This window comes from Homo sapiens, chromosome 1 (assembly GCF_000001405.40).
Source record: "Homo sapiens chromosome 1, GRCh38.p14 Primary Assembly".
NCBI lineage: Eukaryota > Metazoa > Chordata > Mammalia > Primates > Hominidae > Homo > Homo sapiens.
In genome coordinates, this window is record NC_000001.11 from 174,972,377 (window position 1) to 174,995,811 (window position 23,435).

General features: G+C 39.1%; 1 protein-coding gene across 20 annotated transcripts in view; it reads left to right on the plus strand.

Moving 5' to 3' along the window:
* The window catches only part of RABGAP1L (RAB GTPase activating protein 1 like), an 835,789-nt gene extending 812,857 nt beyond the window's left edge, over window positions 1-22,932 (plus strand). For 15 of the 20 annotated variants that reach the window (NR_158982.1, XM_011510223.3, XM_047436028.1 and 12 more), the window contains 5 exons: window positions 3,702-3,806; window positions 6,431-6,514; window positions 10,458-10,529; window positions 16,265-16,462; window positions 17,473-22,932. Coding sequence is in view for 19 of the 20 variants with exons in the window: in XM_011510223.3 (XP_011508525.1) it covers window positions 3,702-3,806; window positions 6,431-6,514; window positions 10,458-10,529; window positions 16,265-16,462; window positions 17,473-17,625 (612 nt within the window). In the remaining variant the exon portion in view is untranslated. The remainder of the gene's footprint in view (window positions 1-3,701; window positions 3,807-6,430; window positions 6,515-10,457; window positions 10,530-16,264; window positions 16,463-17,472) is intronic. The other 5 variants (NM_001366448.1, XM_047436039.1, NM_001366454.1 and 2 more) reach the window with 1 other exon arrangement.

Here is a 23,435-nt window from a genome sequence, read left to right on the forward strand (position 1 = left end):
TGAGTCTTTTCTGAGGTTATTGGTTGATTCATGATTAAATCACACATTGCAATGCTTGTTTCTCTCATACATATATAGCAGAAGCCTTAGATTGCAATTAGAACTTTCAGTATCAATGAGACATTATAAGATATTGTTAAGTATTTAGACTTGATAATGACAGTGTTTCAATCTTATCAAATTATGGTGAAGGCTGTCTGGTGCAGTGGCTCACGCCTGTAATCCTAGCACTTTGGGAGGCCGAGGCAGGTGGATTGCCTGAGCTTAGGAGTTCGAGACCAGCCTGGGGAACACGGTGAAACCGAGTCTCTATTAAAAATACAAAAAATTAGCCAGGTGTGGCGGCATGCGCCCGTAATCCCAGCTACTAGGGAGGCTGAGACAGGAGAATCTCTTGAACCTGGGAGGTGGAGGTTGCAGTGAGCCAAGATCGCACCATTGTACTCCAGCCTGGGTGACAGAGCGAGACTCTGTCTCAAAAAAAAAAAAAAAAAAAAAAAAATTATGGTGAAGGCTTTATAATTTGGGCTCAAAGGTAGAATTTGAAAGGCTTTATAATTTGGGCTCAAAGGTAGAATTTGTGTTTAGCATTTCATTCATTAACATTAAAATTAATTCCTACTTAAGTGAGGTATAGTGGTTGGCTGTACAAAAATTCAAAAGACCACTGTTAGAGGGATACTCAAGTTATTTCAGATCTGGCCCTACTTTGATGAACAGAACAATTGCTCCTACTTTTCTGTTTAACATAAGAGGAGAAACTGTGAATTAAGCTTCCTGGAAAACTGGACTCTTCCCTATAGGACCCACAACAATTGCTGCAGATGTTGTATATGGTAACAGTAGAAATAAGTGAAGTTGCCTTAATCTTGACCTAATGAAGACTGTTCAGCAGAAAATGTGCAAATAAAAATAATAGGTCTTCTTAGCATAAACATTTAGGTGTTTTTGAAAAAAATTCCTCGGGGAAGTGTTTTTCCCCCTTTTCTTTTCTTTTTCTTTCATTTCTTTTTTTTTTTTTTTTCTTTGAGACAGTCTAGCCCTGTAGTCCAGGCTGGAGTGCAATAGTGCGATCTTGGCTCACTGCAACCTCTATCTCCTGGTTTCGAGCAATTCTCCTGCCTCTGTCTCCTGAGTAGCTGGAATTACAGGTGCCCAAAACCATGCCTGGCTGATTTTTGTATTTTTAATAGAGACGGGGTTTCACCATGTTGGCCAGGCTGATCCCGAACTCCTGGCTTCAGGTGACCCACCCACCTCAGCCTCCCAAAGTGCTGGGATTACAGGCGTGAGCCACCGCGCCTGGCCAGCATTTACTTTAAAACATTTTCATAAAATGTTAAAATTTTAGATGGCTCTCCAAGAGACCAAACTGAAAAAAAAACATTTATTTCAGTATCATGATGAACATTATGAAAGGATCAGTCTGTTCACAAAGTGGAAATTGCTGTGGGTCCTGTAAGAGGAAGGCTTAGTTGCAGTCTTCTTTATTAGCAGGGCTCAAACATTCTGGGGTAGAACTTGAACCAGTGGGCTGCAGTTACAGGGAGAGAGTTGGTTCAGTTTTTAAGAACACTGAAATGAGCAGTACAATTGTTTTTTGTTTTTTTTTTTTTTTTTTTTTTTTTTTGAGACGGAGTCTCGCTCTGTCGCCCAGGCTGGAATGCAGTGGCAAGATCTCGGCTCACTGCAAGCTCCGCCTCCTGGTTTCACGCCATTCTCCTGCCTCAGCCTCCTGAGTAGCTGGGACTACAGGCACCTGCCACCATGCCCGGCTAATTTTTTTTGTATTTTTAGTAGAGACAGGGTTTCACCGTGTTAGCCAGGATGGCCTCGATCTCCTGACCTCGTGATCAGCCTGCCTCGGCCTCCCAGGGTGCTGGGATTACAGATGTGAGCCACCGCACCCGGCTGTACAGCTGCTCTCAAAGTGCCACTCTGTGCCTATCTGTCAGAGACTTTGGGGAGGGTCTCCCTGCTTTGTGAGTAACCTCAGTCAGTCATCTGGCTTGGGGCTCTAGAATGGAAGCTTTGTGCTTCCATGGTTTATTTATTTTTCTCTTTTTGTTTTCTTTTAAAATGCCGTACTTTATGCCACATCCTTTCATGATGTACATCAGGTGACTTACAACTTATGAAAACTTGACTTGCAGTGTTCATATTGCATTCTCAAGGTCTACCTCTCATTTTAGTTGTTAATTTGCTGTTAGATTTTCCCCCCTAAAATCTAATGCATCAGAGCAATTTTTAGAGTCTTAAAGACTTTTAAGGGACTTTTTCGCCTTAACTACCCAACGGTTTCAAATGATCTGCAAACAAAGCTCTAACCACTGGGCTATGAGCCATCAGGAGCCAGAAGACAGGGCAAGCAGAGCAGCTGGAATGCAGTTTCTCTACAGTCACCAGCAGACTGTGCTGGCCTGGCCATCTGGACATGCAGGAGATATGGCAGAAAACAGACAGAAGGCCGCTTGGCCAGTCCTCAGCAGACTGGGCTGGCCTGGCCCATCTGGACATGTGGGAGATATGGCAGAAGACGGACAGAAGGCCACCTGGCCAGTTTTCACCATTATTTGGATAACATTTTGCTGCTGTCAGCCAGGGATAGCTTCTTCACATAATCACCTCTCCTCTGTGTCTGGGTTCTCTCTGCTGAACTCATCCTGTGGCCTTCTGCCATCTCCACTGCATGCAGTCTGCATCTGCAATGATTTAGCCACACCTCTTCATTCACCAAGTACTTAGGGAGCACCTATTCTGTACTTGGCATTGGGCTTGGTGCTTGGGATAGAGTGATGAGCAAAAGAGATATAGTTCTTGTCTCCTGGAGCTTAAAGCCTAGTGGGCAAGACAAATAAATCCCATGTGTAAGTTGTCATTACAGTCCTATTAAGGGAAATATGAGAGATTTAGATAGGGGAGCTAACTTAGATGAGGGTGAGTGGGCCAGGGCTGAGGGCATGCTTCATTGCCATGTGAACTTGAAGCCGAGGCCTAAAAGGTGAGAGCCTGACGTGTTAAATAGACATCATCATTCTAGAAATATGATCTTTTCTTCCTGGGTTCCTGGTCCATATTTCCATTTTCTTCATGGCTCTCTCTATCATGGGTTTTTGGTCTTGATTTCTCCTTACTAGACTCACTGCCCTGTGTGAGTGGCCATGTGGGCAGGTTTACCTCAGCTAGTCTTTGAATTTGCCACCTAACTGTTGTCCTCAGACCACCCTGTCTGCTCCCCTCTCTGAGTCAACCCCCATTCTCCACCAGTTGGAAGTTTCTGTGTGAGGCTCTACCCCTTCATCAGATCCATCTACACAGAGTGAGTGCTGCTGTAACATCTAAAAATCTGTAAGAAGCATTTAGAAGGAGGATGGACTTTGATGTTATTCAAATCTGAATTCAGATCATGACTCTATTAGATGTGTGACCCCAGACAGTTTGTTGGATCTTTCCAAACCTCACTGTCATAATCTGTAAAATTATTGTTGGTGTGTGGATTAGAAATAATGTGTGCCAACTAGATGGCACATAGTTGGCATTCAGTGAAAGCAGCCATCGCTTGGTTGAGCTAGGAGGGAAAATAATGACTTGCAATAATTTTGGAACAGCAACTGAAGATTGGGTTTGGAGAAGATTTCCACACACTTTCTTTACCCTCTGTATGACTGTGATGTATGACTGTGATGCACCATGATTTGCAGGCAGAAGACAAGGCAGATGTGTTGAATAAAGAGCTCCTTTTGACCAAACAGAGGCTGGTGGAGACTGAAGAGGAGAAGAGGAAGCAAGAGGAAGAGACTGCCCAGGTAAAAGGAATAATATGTAGGCTTTTCTTTACAAAGGTATGTTGGTAGGGAATTAACACTATAAAAAAGAAGGAAAATTAAATTTCTTCTAAATCAAAGGTGATGTTAAAGCAGTAATGTAAGTAGTTGAGTGTACTTACTCAACATTTTTGTTCAACATTTCTGACATTTTTTTTTTGAAGGGTGTTAAAAGAGGAGGCAGTATTTCTACCCTTGAACAGCTTTTAGGAATTTGCCTTTACTGAGATATTTAGCAAGAGTGTTGAGTTTTCTCTAAGTTTAGTAACTTGGAATTATGATCCAAGAGCTTTGACAAATCTGCAAATTTTGTGTTGTATCTCCAAGATAATTGACTTCTCTGAAGTAGTTTATGAGCATTGTTAAACCGAAAGCCTACAGAGATCTCTGCTGGGAGTTGCCACACAGCCCCTGCCGCAATCAGTCACACTTCATTTTCCTGATTCACACCTTAAGCAGCATCAGTATTCCTGGCTAAGCTTTCAAACCTATTTCCTGGGGGAATATAAAGAAACATTTTGGGAACCAGCCTTGAAGTTAGCACCCTACACTCTTCATGGGAGCTGTAAGGCTAATTAGCCAGAAAATGCCACCAGTGCAAAGCAGTATAGGATAGGGGCAGAGAGGCCTATGGGCCCAAGGAATTGGAGCTTTCCGCTTCCCCAAGGAAGAACATGCTGCTTCATCAGTGTTTTCTACCCCTGTCAGTCCCAGCCAGGGGCCTGACACAGATTAGATTATGAGTCAGAGTTTCATCACAAACAATTGAAGTCTTCTGCCAAGAGTGTGTTTGAATTTTACTAATGTAGCTAACTTATAAAGTGAGGAAGCATCTCAAATCGTGATTAGCTTATTTTAATGAGTTTCATTCTGAGACATCAGTAATACTAAACTTAAAGCACAGCATAAAGCATTTCAAGGATCTACATCCAAGCAACCAGAAAAAAAGTTCCACTAAAGTTACATGTGGAGGAATGTGTCATTTAGCACCTTCCAGACTTTATAAAAAGTGTTCCATGGTTTCTTTTTCCTTGGAATCTGATTTAATGAGTCTTTGGCATTTACAGCGGCCCAGGATATATATTTCTTACCTACTCAAAAATTTTCAGGGGCTGATTACCCAGTTTTAGATTATTTAGGCTCCTTAATGGGTTTTGTTTTTTCTTTACTTCCTGCCATCTTTGGGCCACTTAAGCTACTCTAGATGAGGCATAAGGCTCTTGGCAAGTAAATTTAACCCAGGTTCTACCTGCTCCGTGGTTCCATAGACATATATACTAGCCTGTAAGCAATTGATACCTAAAATGGGAAGGAATATGACACTTGAATACTCACCTAGTATGTTGCAAGAACAATGCAAGATGCTTTGCACCCTTCCTCCCCTCCATGTGCATCTGTGTGTGTGTAACTGTTTTAATCATTATGGTACCCTTGTAAAATAGGGATTATTCTCATTTTCAGATGAGGAAACTATGGCTTAGATAAATTTAGTGACCCTTGCTCAAAGACTCTCAGCCAGCCAAGTCTGTCCTAACATCTATGGGGCCTTATCGTGGAAGGCGAGAAGGTTATTGTTTATGTCCTTAAATTATGTCAGATAGAGAATAAAGATCAATATAAACAACTGAGTGTAGATCACTATAACTTACCAATTGCTTTTAGAATTTTAGAATCTAACAGATATGAAGAAATTCAGAAATCTAATGAGTGCTATTATAAATTGCAATAATTTATGAACTAGCAATTACAGAGTATACGCCATTAATAATTTGGGATGCTTTAGTGCAGAACGCATCTCTTTATTCTGATTATGTACTTAAAGTTTAAGCAGAGTTGTTTTTTGTTTGTTTCATTACTTGTTTGTTCAACAACTTGCAGAATTTAATTCTTTCCTTTGTATCTGGTAGCACCTGAGCTTTTCCATCACCTTAATTTTCCCCTATACCTAGAATTCTAGAGCTGCTGGGCCACAAAAATAACTGTGGTTATAACTATAGCATTCATAATTTAACATTTCAGTGACTGTAACAGGTACCTGCCATTATGTGTCACTTTAGCTCCTTCTAAAGTCAGTTTCTTTAGTCCCTGAATCTCCTGTCCTTCTCAAAACTCTTATCTTCCCCCGTCTTTTCTAACTCTAGTCCCCAAAGCCTCTTGTTTCTGCCTCCAGAGAGGTAACAGCAGTAAAGGTAGACTATAAATAAGGAGGCCTACAATGATTTTTTTCAGTAATTTATAACATCAAGAGTAACAAATTTAGCATGCAGTATTGCCTTGATGTTTTGTTTTAGACTCTTATAAGGATAAAGATAGCTTCTGAATGGATACTTATTTAGCAATATGTTTAGAAGTAGCAAGCATAAGCAATTTTATAATGGTGTTGTTCATATGTCTCATATTTTACAGAAAAGAAAGTAAGGTTTCTGCATCTCTGGAGATGATTGACTTTTTCAGATTATCAAGATGCAGCTTCCATGAAGATAATTTATATAGTTAACATTGTTACCATTGTTACTGACTATGAATCAGACAGACTTGAATATAGATGTTTGTGAAAATTTAAGATTTTGGCTAAATCCTGATATTTCTCATTCTATTCTTTCTAGCTAAAAGAAGTCTTCAGGAAACAGCTAGAGAAGGCAGAATATGAAATAAAGAAGACTACAGCTATCATTGCTGAGTATAAACAGGTAATGTACTTCTGTGGCACATAGAGCTAGTTATAGTTTGCTGCTATAAAAGTAATTTTTTTTTTTTTGCTTGAGGCCAGGAGTTTGAGACTAGCCTGAGCAACATAGCAGGACCCCATATCTACAAGGAAAAAAAATTTTTTAGTTAGCCAGGCACAGTGGCATGTGCCGGTAGTCCCAGCTACCCGGGAGGCTGAGGCAGGAGGATCAGTTGTACCCAGGAGTTTGAGGCTGCAGTGAACTATGATTGCACCACTGTACTCCAGCCTGGGCAACAGAGCAAGACCCTGTCTCTAAAAAAATAAAAATAAAAAAGTAATTATTTTGTTGTTGTTTTTCTTTGGGGGAAGAAATATTTTTGTTTTTAAAGTTTCCAGAATAGTTTTCCAGATTTATTAAATTTGGTGACTCACTGTCTCCTTTGAAGCAGACACTGGTTGGACATACTTATAACTTATTACTTATAGCTTATTACTTATAACTGATAACTTGGGAGGTCTAACTGACCAAAACAATCTATTGGTTGTTTACAGTGTTGGGTAGATTTAGAGGAATAGAAAAACCTTTTGATGACTACTGAGATCCTGTTTCTGCCTTAGTCAGAAGCTAATTTCCAGTAGATCACACTTGGAACATTTGCCTCTTTGTGAAGTTTAGTTATTGTATTAAATGGCAGTAGCTAGGGGATCAGTGTGCCCTTTGCTACCATGGTACAGAATGTGGTAGGCACTCTTTTTCCTACATGGCTATGTGGCCTTCCCCTCTGCAGGCCAATGCTAGCAGGAAGCTTTCTATTGTGAACCTTAAAATGCTTTTAACAAAGGGCTCATCTTCTTGAGGATGTTTCTGGCCCCATCACCATAGTGGTCTCAGAAAGCCCTCTTTCCTGGTATCTACTGGTATCTTCCTGTCCTTCCTGTTGGCTGGACATGGCAAGGACTCCTCTCATTGCTGAGACCCTGAGTTATCTGTTCAAATTCCAGGTTTCTAGAATTAATTAAAGTACCATATGCCATCTTTTGATCTAAAGATTTCCCTGGGGTCTTCTACTTCACATAGGACTCTGAAGTCTGATACTTACTTTTTAAAAAAATGTGTTTTTTTGCTTATAAATTAAATTTGTGTTCTTGTGGAAAATTAGAATAGTGCAGAGAAGCACAAAGAAAACAAATCTCCCTCAGTCTTTCTAGCTAATCATTGTAATATATTGAATATGCATTGTTGCTATACAAATGCTTTATAAATAAATTTAAAATATATATAAACAGGATGAATTGTATTGTTTATCCTTTTTTTTTGTAACTAGCTTTAGTTCACTAATACATTATGAACATCTTTCCATAAGGAATCCGCATATTCACGGACGATTGATAAATAAAACTTTAGAGCTATTTTACTCTTCTATGATAATCAACATATGTTTATTTAATGCCTGCTCTCTGTGAGGCTTAATACTTTGACAGACAAAAAGATGAATGAATTCAAGTTTTCTTCTCTAGAAGCTTATCATATAATGTGGAGGTAATACCTACGTAGAAATAAGAGGAAAGGAAACTTATTACATGTGGGAAATGAAACCTTTTGAGCTGTGCTTCAAAGGCGATGTAAGACTTGGATCTGTAGAGATAAAGAAGATAAAGAAGAGGATGGAAATGGTAGAAAAGAGAGAACAGGATGTGCAAAGGCATGGAAGTAGATTAGTGAAGAGAAAAATAATTCATTTGGTAAGAGATTCCGGTACAAAAGAGAAGCAAAGGGACGTTAGGGTCCAGATCAAGGAAAGTCTTCAGGGCTAGGCTTGGGACCTTGGATTTTATTTTGTTTGTGGTAGGATCTTTTTGAGCAGGAAAGTGGCATAATCAAAGACATATTATTGGCACTAATCTGTCCCAGTAAGAAATGTGGAACCAAGGAGACAGACCGCGAATACCAGAGTCCAACTGTAAGAAGAACCAGGTCCCTGAACTAAATAACTAACGAAAATAGAGAAAAGGGAGACACAAAAGACAGTTTTTTTTGTTTTTTTTTTTTGCTAGACGAGAAAACCTTGAAGGTGATCTGAGATGCCGAATGTGGGCATCTAGGAGAAGAGGTGGTAGACATTAACCAATACAAGGAACATTAAAGACTATGTGCTGTGGAATTTCCCATTGCTACAAATGCATGTTTTTCATTGCCAGATTATGCCATGGGTGGCCACCAAATGCAGCACTCTTCAAATAGTAATCCTGGGGACTATTCTTGAATATTATCTGGCAAGCCCTTGAAATAATGCAAAAGGCAACAGACCCATCTGTTTGAAGATAAGGATATAAGACACAATCTAAATGCATTCTATAGTTGGAATTGGCTATTACTGGCTCTATGCATAATGTTTTGGCTTATTTAAAAGGGTTTAAGGTTTGCAGAATCTACCATGGTGATCTCTTCTTTTTAACATCAGTCAATACCGTCCTACTAATGGTTCCTCAGGCTTGGATCTGGAGAAATTGGAATGAAACTCAACAAACTAAACTCAGCAAGCAAGCCCTCATCACCAGAGCTATTTTTGAGTAGACTGGGTGGGATTTTTTAAATGTCTGTTTTGATAATAGAGGTAGACCATATATGTTTTTATCCAAAATTATACTTTAAAATTTCACATCCCCTGTTTTTCCATCTTTTTTTTTTTTTTTTTTTTTTTTTTTTTTTGTGAGGCAAGGTCTTGCTCTGTCACCCAGGCTGGAATGCAGTGGTCTGAACACAGCTCACTGCAGCCTTGACCTCCTGGGCTCAAGCGATCCTCCCACCTTTCATCCACTTTTCTAAAATAAAAGATTCTTATTTCAGACAATGGATTTGAACATCCAATACTTATTTATCTAGATTTTTTCCTTTGAAAGCACCTATTTCTACCATTTCTAATACTTGTTAGCACCTTATTTCAGAATCAATAAGAAGAATATATTTTATTTAATGTACACTTACTATTGGCCAAGTGCTATGCTAACCCCTTTGCATACTTTTTTTTCCACTTGATTGCTATAGCACAGCACTTTTCAATCATGAGGAAACTGAGTCTTAGAAAGATTAATGACTTTGCCCAAGCTCACAAAGCTATAAAGAAATGGAGCTGGCCTGCCTTAAACTCACATTTAACTCCAGCAGCTAAGTTTTTAATTTCTATGCTATGTTGCCAAACCTACTTAATAAGAGTTTTAGTCTGTATTATTTTCTGGTCATTTTAACTTTGTTTTATCCACTCTGCCACCTTTTTTTAATACCTTAAATTCTGGGGTACACATGCAGAACATGCAGTTTTGTTACATAGGTATACACGTGCCGTGGTGGTTTGCTGAACCCATCAACCCGTCACCTACATTAGGTATTTCTCCTAATGTTATGCCTCCCCTAGTCCCCTACCCCTCCACCAGGCCGCGGTGTGTGATGTTCCCCTCCCTATGACCATGTGTTCTCATTGTTCAATTCCCACTTATGAGTGAGAACATCACTCTGCCACTTCTTAAGGAAACTTTTGTGATTGAAAACAGGTTCTTTCTGTGACAGTAGAAAGGAGATATTTCTGTCTAGAATTCTTTTCATCAAGATTTTCTCAGCATACTAACTTGTACAAAGTGAATACTCAGCAAAGATTCTATAGGTTAATTCCAAAAGTGAGGCCAGGAATTCACTTGAACCAGTCACAGAAGGCTAGTGACAGAAAGAAACCAAATCTACTCTCCGTATGTTTCTACTAATTAAGGTAGAGTGTGCTTTACATATGGAACGCTCCAGCTTTCTGCTGCTCATTTCCGAAATGACTGGCATTTGCAGTGCTATTCATTTGTAAAATTCCTTCTAGGATCAGATGTGCTAGCATAACACATGAATTGATAAGTAGTTATGTGTACATGCTGCAAGAGTTGTTCTGTTTTCTAGTAAAAGACTCTTTTCTCATCCTTAGATCTGTTCGCAGTTGAGTACCAGGCTGGAGAAACAGCAAGCAGCCAGCAAGGAGGAGCTGGAAGTGGTAAAGGTAAGGAGTGAAATCGTGCTGTGATAAAATTTATTTCAAAGTCACACAGGCTTGTAAGTACCTGAAAGAACCCCAAACACCACCATTTTGTATTAAAGGATTTATTAATAGGAATTATGGAGACTAGGATACCTCTCTTCTGACCAGGTGTGATTGTCTTCCCTACCAGGTGAAAGGTTATGATGCTCCCATAAATCATATGGACTGTCAGAGGCAGCTAACATGAAAGGAAGTAGGATTTGACATTGTCACAAGAAGCCCCAGAGCTTGAGATGAGAGTGGTATGAACCTGAGAACCCTCAGCAGCCCACATCTGACTGAGCCTGCATTGATGTGGCTTCAGTATGGGACTCAGTAGGATCATCCCATCACTCTCTTTATAAGTAAACACCATGGGCAATATAGAACTTAGCTGGAAAAACATGTGTTGGGTAACTGATTCTTGCACTAAGTTTTTAGAGGTTTATTTTTAAAGAAAACCTGTGGCATTTGTTTACTTGCTGCCCCCTGGTGGTAAAATGCATTATGTTGATGCTCTATTTGAAAAAAACAGATTGCTTATTCCATAGAAACAACAGTAAACCAATGGATTGGTATTCTTAAGAGGCAATATTGTCATAGTCAACTTTTGGGACCAGTGTTACAGAAACCTGACATCATCTTATTTGAATATGTTCAGGTTTCATACTAGTAAATAAATGTGTAGTAAGTAATTTAGCAATCTTGAAAAGTGATTTAACCTTTTTAAGCTTCATTTTGTGTTCTATAAAATGGAGATAACATTACCTGCCTCAAAAAATCATTCTGAATGTTAAATAAGATAATGAATATAAAGTACATAGTGTATATAAAGTGCTTATATTAGTACCTGACATACAAGACCTTGTATTCCAAAAGTATTTTCTTCTTACTCATGTTACAAAATGTCAATGAGAGATTTAGTGAGTATAAGGTTTGGTGTTCTCCCTCTCTGATGTGCTAAAATTTGATGTTTGTATCTTCCCTTTCTGGTCTACTTTTGCACTTCTTTCTAGTTAGCACTTACCACTCTTTGTACATTATAGGCATACTGACCAAGATTCAGTTGATGAAGTTGAATGGCATAAAGGGGTTAACTCTCCTGAAGTGAATTTTTTTTGTATTTCTTCTAACAAAAAAAAAAAAAAAAAAAAAGGGATACATGTGCAGAAGGTGCAGGTTTGTTACATAGGTATACGTGTGCCATGGTGGTTTGCTGTGCCTGTTAACCCATCCTCTAAGTTCCCTCCCCTCAGTCCCCACCCCCAACAACAGGCCCTGGTGAGTGTTGTTCCCCTCTTCTGTGTCCATGTGTTCTCAGTGCTAAACTGAAATCTTTATGGAAATAACAAAATGAGAATTTATATTGATTATTCAGCAAAGGTTTTATTGAGCATATACTATGTGCATAGCTATTAGACTGCCATTTTGTTATAGAAATTACACATGAAAAGGAGCTTAAAATTTTCCTGTAGGACAAGTTATGTATACATGCAAATTAAGAACTTCGGAAGCAGTTCAAGGGAGCTAAGTTGGGCCAGGTGTGGTGGCTCACGCCTGTAATCCCAACACTTTGGGAGGCTGAGGTGGGCAGATCACCTGAGGTCAGGCGTTCAAGACCAGCCTGGCCATCATGGTGAAACCCTGTCTCTGCTAAAAATAACAAAAATTAGCCAGGCATAGTGGCTCACACCTGTAATCTCAGCTACTCTGGAGGCTGAGGCACAAGAATCACTTGAACCCAGGAGGCAGAGGTTGCAGTGAGCCGACATTGTGCCACTGTACTCCAGCCTGAGCAGCAGAGTGAGATTCCATCTCAAAAAAACAAAAAACAAACAAAAAAAGTGCTAAGTTGGATCACAATGACAATCAGCATTGTAGAGAAAACAAAATCATGAGAACTATAGACCAAAAAAGGCTTTATGGAGATTGGACTAAAGCAGGGTGGATAGAAATTAGTTAGAGAGAAGTGTTTAAACAGAACATTATAGAAGAAATGATGTGAGTGAAGACGCAAACACAGGAATGAGTATTTCAGTGTCTCATTACAGAGACTGATGTGATTAGAATATGTATTAAGGAACAGAGGAAAATATTGGCTAAGTAGGTGAGACTACCTAATGAAAGGCCATGACATTCAGGAAGAGGAATGTAAACTTGTCTTAGCCAGAATAAAGAAGAACAACTAGGCTCACGCCTGTCATTCCAACACTTTGGGGAGGCTGAGGTGGGCGGATCACTTGAGTCCAGGAGTTCAACTTGGTGAAACTCCTGGACTGGGAAACTTGGTGAAACCCTGTCTCTACAAAAAATACAAAAATTAGCCGGATGTGGTGGCATGCACCTGTAGTCCCAGCTCCTCAGGAGGCTGAAGTGGGAGGATCGCTTGAGCCCAGGAGGCTGAAGCTGCAGTGAACTGTGAGCATGCCATGGCACTCCAGCCTGGGTGACAGTAAGAGCCTGGTACAAAATTAAAAAAGAAAAAGACAGTAAAGCTTCTTTTTTATTGATGATAAGGTCGCAAACAGGTAATTCATTTGATCAAGGTTACACAGCTAGTAGAACCAGGATTTAAGCCTGGAAGTCAGACTCTAAAGTCAATAACATTAGCTGTTAGACTATACTACCTCCCCTTTCTCTAGTGCTTCCTCCTATCTCATTTGGTATGATAAATAGCTTTTGGTTTTTTCAGTTTCCTGTAATAACCTTCTTTTGTCATGATCACCCCCCAGTTCATCCTTTACACTATAATCAGAATGAGTGTTCCCAAATATAAAGTGATATTTGACTATCACTCTGTGTATCAATGCAGAATTAGATTGGCCACATATAGGGAACCCAAAATAGCATTGGCTTAAACATAAAAGGTGTTGATTATTTTACATAAAAGCAGCCTAGGACTAGAAAGGTATATCTTTGGTGTCATTAGTAACCCAAGCTAATCAGTCATTAGTGACCTACATCGTCATGTGGACTTCTATCCTCAAGGTCACCTAAAAACCAATCCTTCCTTTCTTTTTTTCTTTTTTTTTTGAGACGGGGTCTCGCCCTGTCGCCCAGGCTGGAGTGCAATGGCACAATCTTGGCTCACTGCAACTTCTGCCTCCCAAATTCAAGCTATTCTCCTGCCTCAGCCTCCCAAGTACATGGGATTACAGTCACGCGCCTCCACACCCGGCTAATTTTTGTATTTTTAGTAGAAAAATACAAAATACATGGTTTCACCATGTTGGCCAGGCTGGTCTCGAACTCCTGACCTCATGTTCTACCCACCTCGGCCTCCCAAAGTGCTGGGATTAACGGGCATGAGCCGCCGTGCCCAGCACAAAACCAATCCTTTCAACTAGAGCTCCCACCATCACACCCATACTCTATGGCAGAATTTTAGTCCAAAAGGAGATGCAGGATATAAAGGCCTCATTCTCCTGGGTGAGCTCTTTCTAAGCAGCCTTTTTAGAAGCTCCCCTCTAAACTTCTGCTTACATAGCAGCTTTGAGGGAATTTAGGGAGTGTCACCTTTTATCTAGACACACTGCCAGCTGAAATAAACTCAGGGTCTGTTAGTAAGGAAGAAGGAGAAATGGATATTGGGTGAGAATCAGCAGTATCCACCACATTTTAGCAGGTCTGCCAGACTGCAGCTCTGTCAAACTTATTGCTCTATCTTTGACATGTAGCACGAGGCTCGGTAGAGTAAATGAATACATTTTCTGTAGGATAAAATCAGAATTCAGCAACATGGTATTTAAGGACCTTTATGACCTGGCCACAGGGATCTCTCATCTCGCTCATTGTTGAATCGCTTTCTGCTTAAGCCATTTTAAATTCTTTGAAGTTATCTGAAGGTGCTATGTCTTTGCACATGGTGGTGTTCTCTTTGCTGAAATGTCATCCTCCCTCTTAAGTGATCAATCTATTTCTTCAGGTGGTTCAACCTAATAAAATTACTTAGCCAGCTTGGTAAACTTTTAATCATTTAAGACTCAGATCAAAACTATTTCTTTAACATTTTTAGTCAACAGTAAATACACAACAAATATTTACAATATGCCTATACTGGGCTAATTATTCTCAGAGGTTCTTAAGAGAGTGACAAGTTTTGTTTTTACATGTCTAATTAATATTAATGAAAAGGAATACGAAGAGTGGTTTATGGATGGGATGAGAAGGAAGCCAGTGAGTACTGAGAAGGTGACCCCTAGGGATTTGGCCTGGAATGGCAAGAGCTCAGACATGTCAGAGGAAGAAATTTTTTTTTTTTTGAGACGGAGTCTTGCTCTGTCGCCAGGCTGGAGTGCAGTGGCGCGATCTCGGCACACTGCAAGCTCCGCCTCCCGGGTTCACGCCATTCTTCTGCCTCAGCCGCCTGAGTAGCTGGGACTATAGGTGCCCGCCACCATGCCCAGCTAATTTTTGTATTTTTACTAGAGACGGGGTTTCACCATGTTGGCCAGGATGGTCTCGCTCTCTTGACCTCGTGATCCACCCACCTTAGCCTCCCAAAGTTGTGGTATTACAGGCATGAGCCACTGCACCTGGCCCAAGAGGAAGAAATTAATGGTCAGCTGGACATGGGATGAAAGAGGAGCTAATGAAAAGATGATCCAAAGTCGTCAGGCCCAAATGGTGGAGACATGCCCAGTGGCACAAAAGTGTGGTGGAGAGTTGCTTTTTGTGTGTGTGAAGAGAGGAGGATGGGCACGGTGATGGACACATTGAGCTTGTAGCAGTAGGGCATCAAAGTAGAAATAGCATGTAATATCTTTTATCTCTATTGAATTATTTTTGAAAATAAGTAAACAACAGTACTATTGTCTGGAAAACAGTTGCTGTTGTTTAGTGCTGTGTGCCCGATTGGCAATGCGGGCATGTGGTAGAGTTATTTTATTTTATTTTTATTTTTTGAGATGGAGTCTCATTCTCTCGCCCAGGCTGGAGTGCAGTGGCGCGATCTCGGCTCACTGCAAGCTCCGCCTCCCGGGTTCAAGCGATTCTCCTGCCTCAGCCTCCCGAGTAGCTGGGACTATAGGCGTGTGCCACCATGCCTGGCTAATTTTTTGTATTTTTAGTAGAGACGAGGTTTCACCGTGTTAGCCAGGCTGGTCTCAATCTCCTGACCTTGTGATCTGCCTGCCTTGGACTCCCAAAGTGCTGGGATTACAGGCGTGAGCCACCAGGCCCGGCCGGAGTTACTTTTATTAAGCAACAGGGGTCCTCTTTGCTTAAAATTCAACAACAGGACATGTGCTTTGTTGCAAGGGTAGATTTAGGTTAGTCATGATGACCTTCCTCAGTCTACTACAGGCAAGTTCTTTAAACTCTGAGTTTCTTTATGAAATGAGGATGATGATAGTGCTTACTTATACAGTTGCTCTAGGATTAAGTGAAATACTACAAGTAAAGCATTTGGTGTGGGGCTTGGCATCTAGTAAGAATAATGATAGCATAAAATTTCTAGAACAGATTTCAAAGAGATGCTACAATACCTTCTATTTCTAGGGTATTTCTAGAGATACTTCAGGAAAAAGGAGCACCCGTCTTGGATAGTTGGGTTCGGGCTAATGATTTTGATTGCAGCACAAGAAAAATAATTAACCTTCAGAAATGGGCCTGCATCTATGACAATAAGCAGCATCTAAAAAAGTCATAAATTGTTTCAGAAGGTGATTTAGCCTATGGAATAGTTTGATGTTGGTTATCTCTTTTGGATACTTTAGGGTAAGATGATGGCATGCAAACACTGCAGTGACATTTTCAGCAAGGAGGGTGCTTTGAAACTAGCAGCCACAGGCAGAGAGGACCAGGGAATTGAAACAGATGATGAGAAGGACTCACTTAAGAAGCAGCTGAGAGAGATGGAACTGGAACTGGCACAAACCAAACTGCAGTTGGTGGAGGCCAAGTGTAAAATTCAGGTTGGTGATTTGATAAAAGAACAAGAAGAAAGAATAAACAATTAATGGTCCAGGATACTCTAGTACTTCAGAATACACCTATCTAGGTCAGAATTGTATGATGAATACATTTTCTGTCTGCTAATGTGTCCTGCATAATCACATTTTATATCATGTATTCTTAACGCTGATATAAACAAATATATAATTTTAAATGAAATTTTAATAATTAAAATTATATCTTATGGGAATTTAATTAAGCATATGCTTGTTTTTTTTACCCTGAGATTTTTTGCTTACATCCTTTCTCACAGAATGTGGTCACTTCAGTGGCTGATCCTGAAAATGAAAAACCAAACCCCCTCTGCTGTGTCTACCCTGAGAGTCACACATTGGCTGACACCCGTTCTTTCCTTTAGAGCTTCTTTTTATCTTTAGCTCATTTTGTCAAACCTCTTTCCCCATTATCTTTCTCCATATTGGCGCATAATATAATTAGAAATAGTCCTGGCTTCTGATGGACTCTTCTTCATTTCATTTTCCCAGTGATCCCTACCAGCACCATGGCTGCCATGTCACCAGCCTCCACCACACCAGCCAGCTTCCACCATGTGTCTGCTCTGACCTTGGACATTCTTAGGGCAAAGCCTATTTCTTTGGAACTGGAATTCATTCATGCTTCTACTATCAGTAAAAATTCATCCATATGTTTACATTTATTTGTGGTTTTTAAACCTGTTATATCGGATTGCAACCTAAACCTAAATTTGGACCTAACTTGCAGGGAAAAAAAGAATAAAATGAGCTTTTCTTTCACTGTTTAAAGAAAGCACAGATTCTAGATTTTTGATAAGTCTTTTAGCTCTTAACTTTATCCTTGTACTAAGAAGCCAATTCAATCTCTCCTGGGTTTTGTGGGAGGAAAATTGGCAGCACATACCTTGAGACTCCAAAAAGCTGCACACTTTTATTTATTTATTGGCAAAGAGAAAACATTTATTTAACTCAGATGATTTTCTTGCTTTAATTAGGAACTTGAACATCAGAGAGGAGCCCTTATGAATGAAATCCAAGCTGCGAAAAACTCTTGGTTTAGCAAAACCCTGAACTCTATCAAAACGGCCACGGGCACCCAGCCATTGCAGCCAGCACCGGTCACCCAGCCACCCAAGGAGAGCACATAGTTCCAGCCTTACCCAAGCACAAGAGCACAATGTTCAAACCAATGGAAATCTGGGAGGATTCTTCCTGGTGTCCCTTTGAAGGAAAGTCAAGGAGGCCAGAAAACAAGCCAGAATTTTTCAGTAGCTCTCACTCTTTCTTGTATGACACTTTTCAAAGGGATGCTATTTAAACTGACCTGTTCTATGTTGAATACCTATTTTCCAGCTTCTGGAAGGCCATGTTCAGATCCATCATAGTATTACACATTATTTTGTTTGCCTGATGTTTAGTTGGAAATAAGTAATTCAGAACTAAATGCTTTTTTATTTAGAATTATTCATAATTATTTTTATCTTACATAAAAATGGAGACATCTGTTATTCCAAGGTTGAAGTGATAAGAAGATCTTTGTCACAGGAAAAAAAAAATTGAAACCTAAACATCTTAAGTTTTCAGGATTTATTCAGATAAAGCACACTGTGGGGCCAGGCATGACCACTCTCAGGTTTCCTCCTGAGCCTGATTCCCAGGGAAGTGTTAATCCTGTCCAAAGGAAAGAACCAATCAGCGATCATTGGTTTACTTTCATTTTCTGTTCGGTACATCTGGAAATGAAGTGCCAGGAATAGACGGGCTGTTCAGATTATACGCTAGGTAAAAGGAACTGAAATTTTAATAAGTGTAGGTCAGGATCATTTGGGCTGTGGTATTCTAACAGATCCTTTTAAGAATGCCACATAGGACTTGTGAGTTCCTAAGTACACCAAAGTATGGACACAGATGTGACTTCTGGCAATTATAAAGTTAAAGGTGGATATTGCACCTTACAGACTTAGGGAGCCTTTACCAGAGACGCCTAAAAAGCCCCAGGTTCAGCCATTGTGCTGAATAGAGTGGAATATAGAACCAGGGACAGAGTATTTCATTTAACGTTGATATATACTTGCTAAGGAAACACTAACAATACTGTAACTTTGTTAAAGGACATAGTATTGAAATGGGAAATAGAGGTCAGGCTCACATCATCTTAGTTTAATGCTGGGCAACTTTTTCTGATTTCTGTAGTTCCCTGAAAATGTGTCCTTCGTACCCATAAAGAGATACAAATGCATTTGTAACATTTTTGATTGAATATAAAACCTTTACAGAAATACTTATCTCATGGAAAGGTAAAGCTATTGTTTAAAAATTAGTGGAAATATTTTTTCAATTATATTTAACATGCCTATAAAAATAGTCCTTGCAGGAAATTATTTGATAAGAGCAAAACTATTTTTATTTTATAAACTATTTTGGAGGCCTCTGATCCTTTCAAACCAACCAAACTACTATTAGATATGTACAATAACATTTGTTGATATTAATCATTGGCCTCATTGTTGAACATATTATTTGCAAAGAATCTTAAACTCTGTAGTGCCAGAATGATTCTCATCTGTGCCATATTTTGCAATTAAAAGTAACACACCCTTAGAAGAATCAAATAAGAGCCATCTACATCCCAGGAGGATGCACCAAGTTGCTCACAGTGGATCTTTTCCTCTAAAATGATCTTTTATGTTCTAAAAAGTGAAATCCCCTTTATCTGTGTTTATATTCTCTACAGCCCATAAAACTGATGTGATTGTTATGTTATACTCATCAGATAATACTTTTCTTACATAAATCTTTCATTGTTGTTCTGACATCTTTCATTACAAAATTTATTTTCTTAACAAAAAGGAACATAACCCAGCATTCCAAGTGTCTGTGTTGGCTTTAACATTCTCTACATGGTGGTCTAGATAAGCTAATTTTTTTTTTTTTTTTTTTGTAAAATGTAATAGCTAGAAAATGTTATCTTGGCGCTTGTTTTTGTAAATCATTTAGTATAGGCTGTTAGCTTTACTGGTACTTTACGCTTTGATTCCAAGAAGCCTTGTGCAGTTGCCTTATCAAATGGCCAGCTAAATTAAAGATGCTCTTTTGTGTTGTGAATTTCATAGTTCTGTACAGAGCTTGTTTCAATTTACAAAAATAAGTACATTCCACAGAATGCCTAAAGTGTGTAATTTTCTTTAAATAATAGTAGGTGAGGGAGAAACATAATGGCTCTAGGTCAATCCCTTATCTAAAGACCTTGTTCAACTTCATAGTCCCTTTCCTTTTAAAGAGGAGAAGAGAAAAATCCCCCCTGGCCAGGCATGGTGGCTCACATCTGTAATCCCAGCACTTTGGGAGGCTGAGGTGGGTGGATCACCTAAGGTCAGGAGTTTGAGACCAGCCTGGCCAACATGGTGAAACCCTATCTCTACTGCAAAATACAAAAATTAGCCGGGCTTGGTGGCGGGTGCCTGTAATCCCAGCTACTCGGGAGGTTGAGGCAGGAGAATCACTTGAACCCAGGAGGCAGAGGTTGCAGTGGGCCAAGATTACGGCATTACATTCCATCCAGCCTGGGCGACAAGAGCAAAATTCCGTCTCGAAAAATCACCAGGTACATACCTCTCAAGTTTGATAAGTCCATCTTTTGAGTTTTCTTTTAGCTCTTTCAAAAGATTACGAGGGCAATACATATTTTTTTTTTTTTTATTCTCCAGCCCCATATCATACTTGGGTATGCCTGTTGGTACCATAAGCCTAAACTCTCCTTCACTGCAATGCCTTTGAGTCAGTAGCAATAGTAAAGACTAGAAACAAAGAAAATTCAGAATTTGGTATGTGATATGATTGTTCATACAATATGTTATAATAGCAATATTCCAAACAATATGTCCTTCACTGTCTATTGTTGGAAAACTCATGCATCCCAGCATGAAGTAACTCCTAGTTTTAATTTTAGTTATTTTGAGATATATTTGAGAATTGCATCTCTTCTCTTGAATTTCACTTAGAAGAGATTAACCAGCCAAATATCCAGGAAAGTTTCAAAACATTCTAGTGTTTTTCATCCTTTGCTAGGATGCACTCTGTACAAAACATTCCTCTGAAAATCTAATATTTGCAGTATCTAAGAATTGATCATTTCTATTTTCATTAAATTCTGTGGAAAAAATTAAATGAATGAAATTCAACTTCATAATTCAGTTCATCAGCTTTTGTATCTTGAGAATCTAAACACGTCTTTAAATCTGAAAGAAACCAAGCTGGATTTTGCAGTGCATATGTTTGCTAGCTTCCCACATCCTGAACCATGTCAAAATTTGGTTTTATTTAGTTACATATAATTTAATGCAAAGAAATTCTGTTACTTAATGTTCTGTTTATTTATGAGTGCCTATCAGGAACACTAATAGGAATGCCATTCAACCAGTGTCTTCTGCCCCTCTCCCAGCTGTTAAATTAGTACTTCTTCATTGGCTTTCTGAAATGTCCTGAGTAAAGTAGAAAAGCAACCTTTGTATGGATGTGGGGATATTTAATAGTATGTATCTTGTTTCATTTTTTTCCTATGATGTATTAATATTTATTTTTCTCCAACCCCTGCTCCATTTTCTTAAAATATTTTCCAGTTAATAACTAGTTGCTTTATTTCCTAGCTGAAGTGAGAAAACCAACGGAAAACAATACAGATTTGGGCAGAGGAGATAGAGTTACATCTTTAAAGGAGTGAGCCAGTCACCCAGGAGAATCACATGTGTAACTGATGTAGGGGTTTAAGTCTTCATACTTTCACTAAAATCTGTCTACTAACTCTCCCACCAACCTTTGCATCAAACACTTAGGTACCTGCCTGATTAGGGGGGCCCCTTTAAGGGAAAAAACTTTTAAAAAATTAAATGCCTTGGTTTTGTTTTATCTTCTGGGAAAGAACACTTTTACTTGATTAGCAAGATGATTATATTATATAACTTGCCCTTAAAAACACTCCAAAATACTGACTCCTTTTCTCCAATTACAAATGAGTGTGAAGAAATTCTGTTGTATGATTTGAACACTATTAGGTTTGTATGTGTGTTTAATTGGAAGAATTTTATATAGAGTATCTCTGCTGCTTTTGTTTACCTGGGTACCACACAACCAAATACACATTGAGATTTCAAGAAATGATGATGAAAGCCAGAAGGCCAGACCACAGCTCTGCAGCCTGTTTCCTACAACCAGATATAAAACTCTTTCTCGTCGCCATGCTGATAGTCACACTGAACTAGAACTGTCCCAACACATTCTTCCTCTCTCATAATGGCTTCCATTTAATACAGGCAAAGCCCTTTACCTTAGCAAATTCTTTATCTTTCAAAAGTGACCAAAATGAGGACTTCAACCTTGGCTGCACCTCAATAGGAGATGCTGATCTTGAGTTGTAATGAGAAAAGTGGGCATATAGGAGATTTTAGTGACTGCAGTCAGCTGTCTGGCATTCCTTTCTCAGTTTGCATCTAAAAGACTACATATGTCAAGCTTATCTCCACCTGAATTTGCTGCCTGCTATAAAAACATTTCATTAATATATCCCATTCTTCCTACCTCCATCTCTGGTTTGTCATTAGTGGTATTCTGAAAAGCTTAAGAAAAAAGAATCATTGAGTAGAAAGTGAACATTTTAAGTTATTTTCCTTTTTCATTGGCAATTAGTTAACATGTAAAATCTTTTCCATTAAACTGTATAACTTTTAATAACTATATATTATATATGGGATAAAATATATGGACTGAATTGTGAGAATATAAATGCATCGAAAGACTCTGGTGTCATGAAAGCACAAGAATAAGGCTGGAGATGGTCCCAGATCCAAGATGTCCCAAAAGCCTTTTGTATCAGTTTCTCTATTTTTGGTATTTTGCATAATGCATGGATCCTTAGTTCAAATGAGGGACAAAGTTTCTCAGTCAGCCCCACTTCCTTTCTTTCTAACTCCTACCTTTCCCTTGCAGAGGAGGTAGTAGAGATTCTGGAATTGTCTATTTTTATGAATTCCATTATTTTGTCCATGGCATCTCTAATGAAAACAGGTTCTAGAATAAAGGAGTTGATTAGTCTGAACAGTACTAATTAACTACAAAATAAACGTTAGTGATCAGCCTCTTCCTCTATAAACAATGACCAATTAGACGTTTCCGTAATTCCATGTATTATGTATAGTACACTCTATAAATGTAAATGTAATGCTTGTCTAAAAAGTGCAATTTATTGTACATTGTCCCAACAAATGTTTACTTTTATAATCGTTATGAACTTGAATTGGATTAGTATCTTGTTTTTATGTGTGAATGAAGCCTTGTGAAATAAACAAATGCAACTGAGAAGGTAACAAGGTGACTGTTTTTGTGAGCCAGTGATGTTTTCAATGCTTTGTGTTGCCCCTTTGGCCCCATTAAGCAGTAATAAACATTTGTTCTGAAGTCCATGTATGTCTTTTTTATTTTTTTAGTTGACTTTATTCTGACTCATTTGAACCCAATGTTTATGTAACACTTCTTACACCTGACCCCAGACTCCAGTCAACGTAGAAAACACACAGTATATACCCTGCAAAATGATACCCTGTGCAGCACCACCACAAAGTGCTTCATTTTCCTCTCTACTGAGGTTCCTTGATTCCACGTAACAGAAACCCTTGCAAGCTAGCTTAATAATAGTAATTTTAAGAGGCAATTAATTAAAAGGAAATAGGATATCTGTATCATAGGTCCCAAAGGCCAAACACTTGGGCCTGAACTGGCACTAGGACAAGGGGCTGGAATGCCATCAGGACTCTGAAAGCAACTGTTCCCAAAATTGTGCTTCTGCTTGTCCTTCCAGATGACTTACCTGCTTCATTCTTCTCTCTGAAAACAGGCTTTCTCTGCTTCTAAGTACACAGCTACCAAGTTTACATATCCTCTCTTCAAACTACCAGCAGAAGACTAC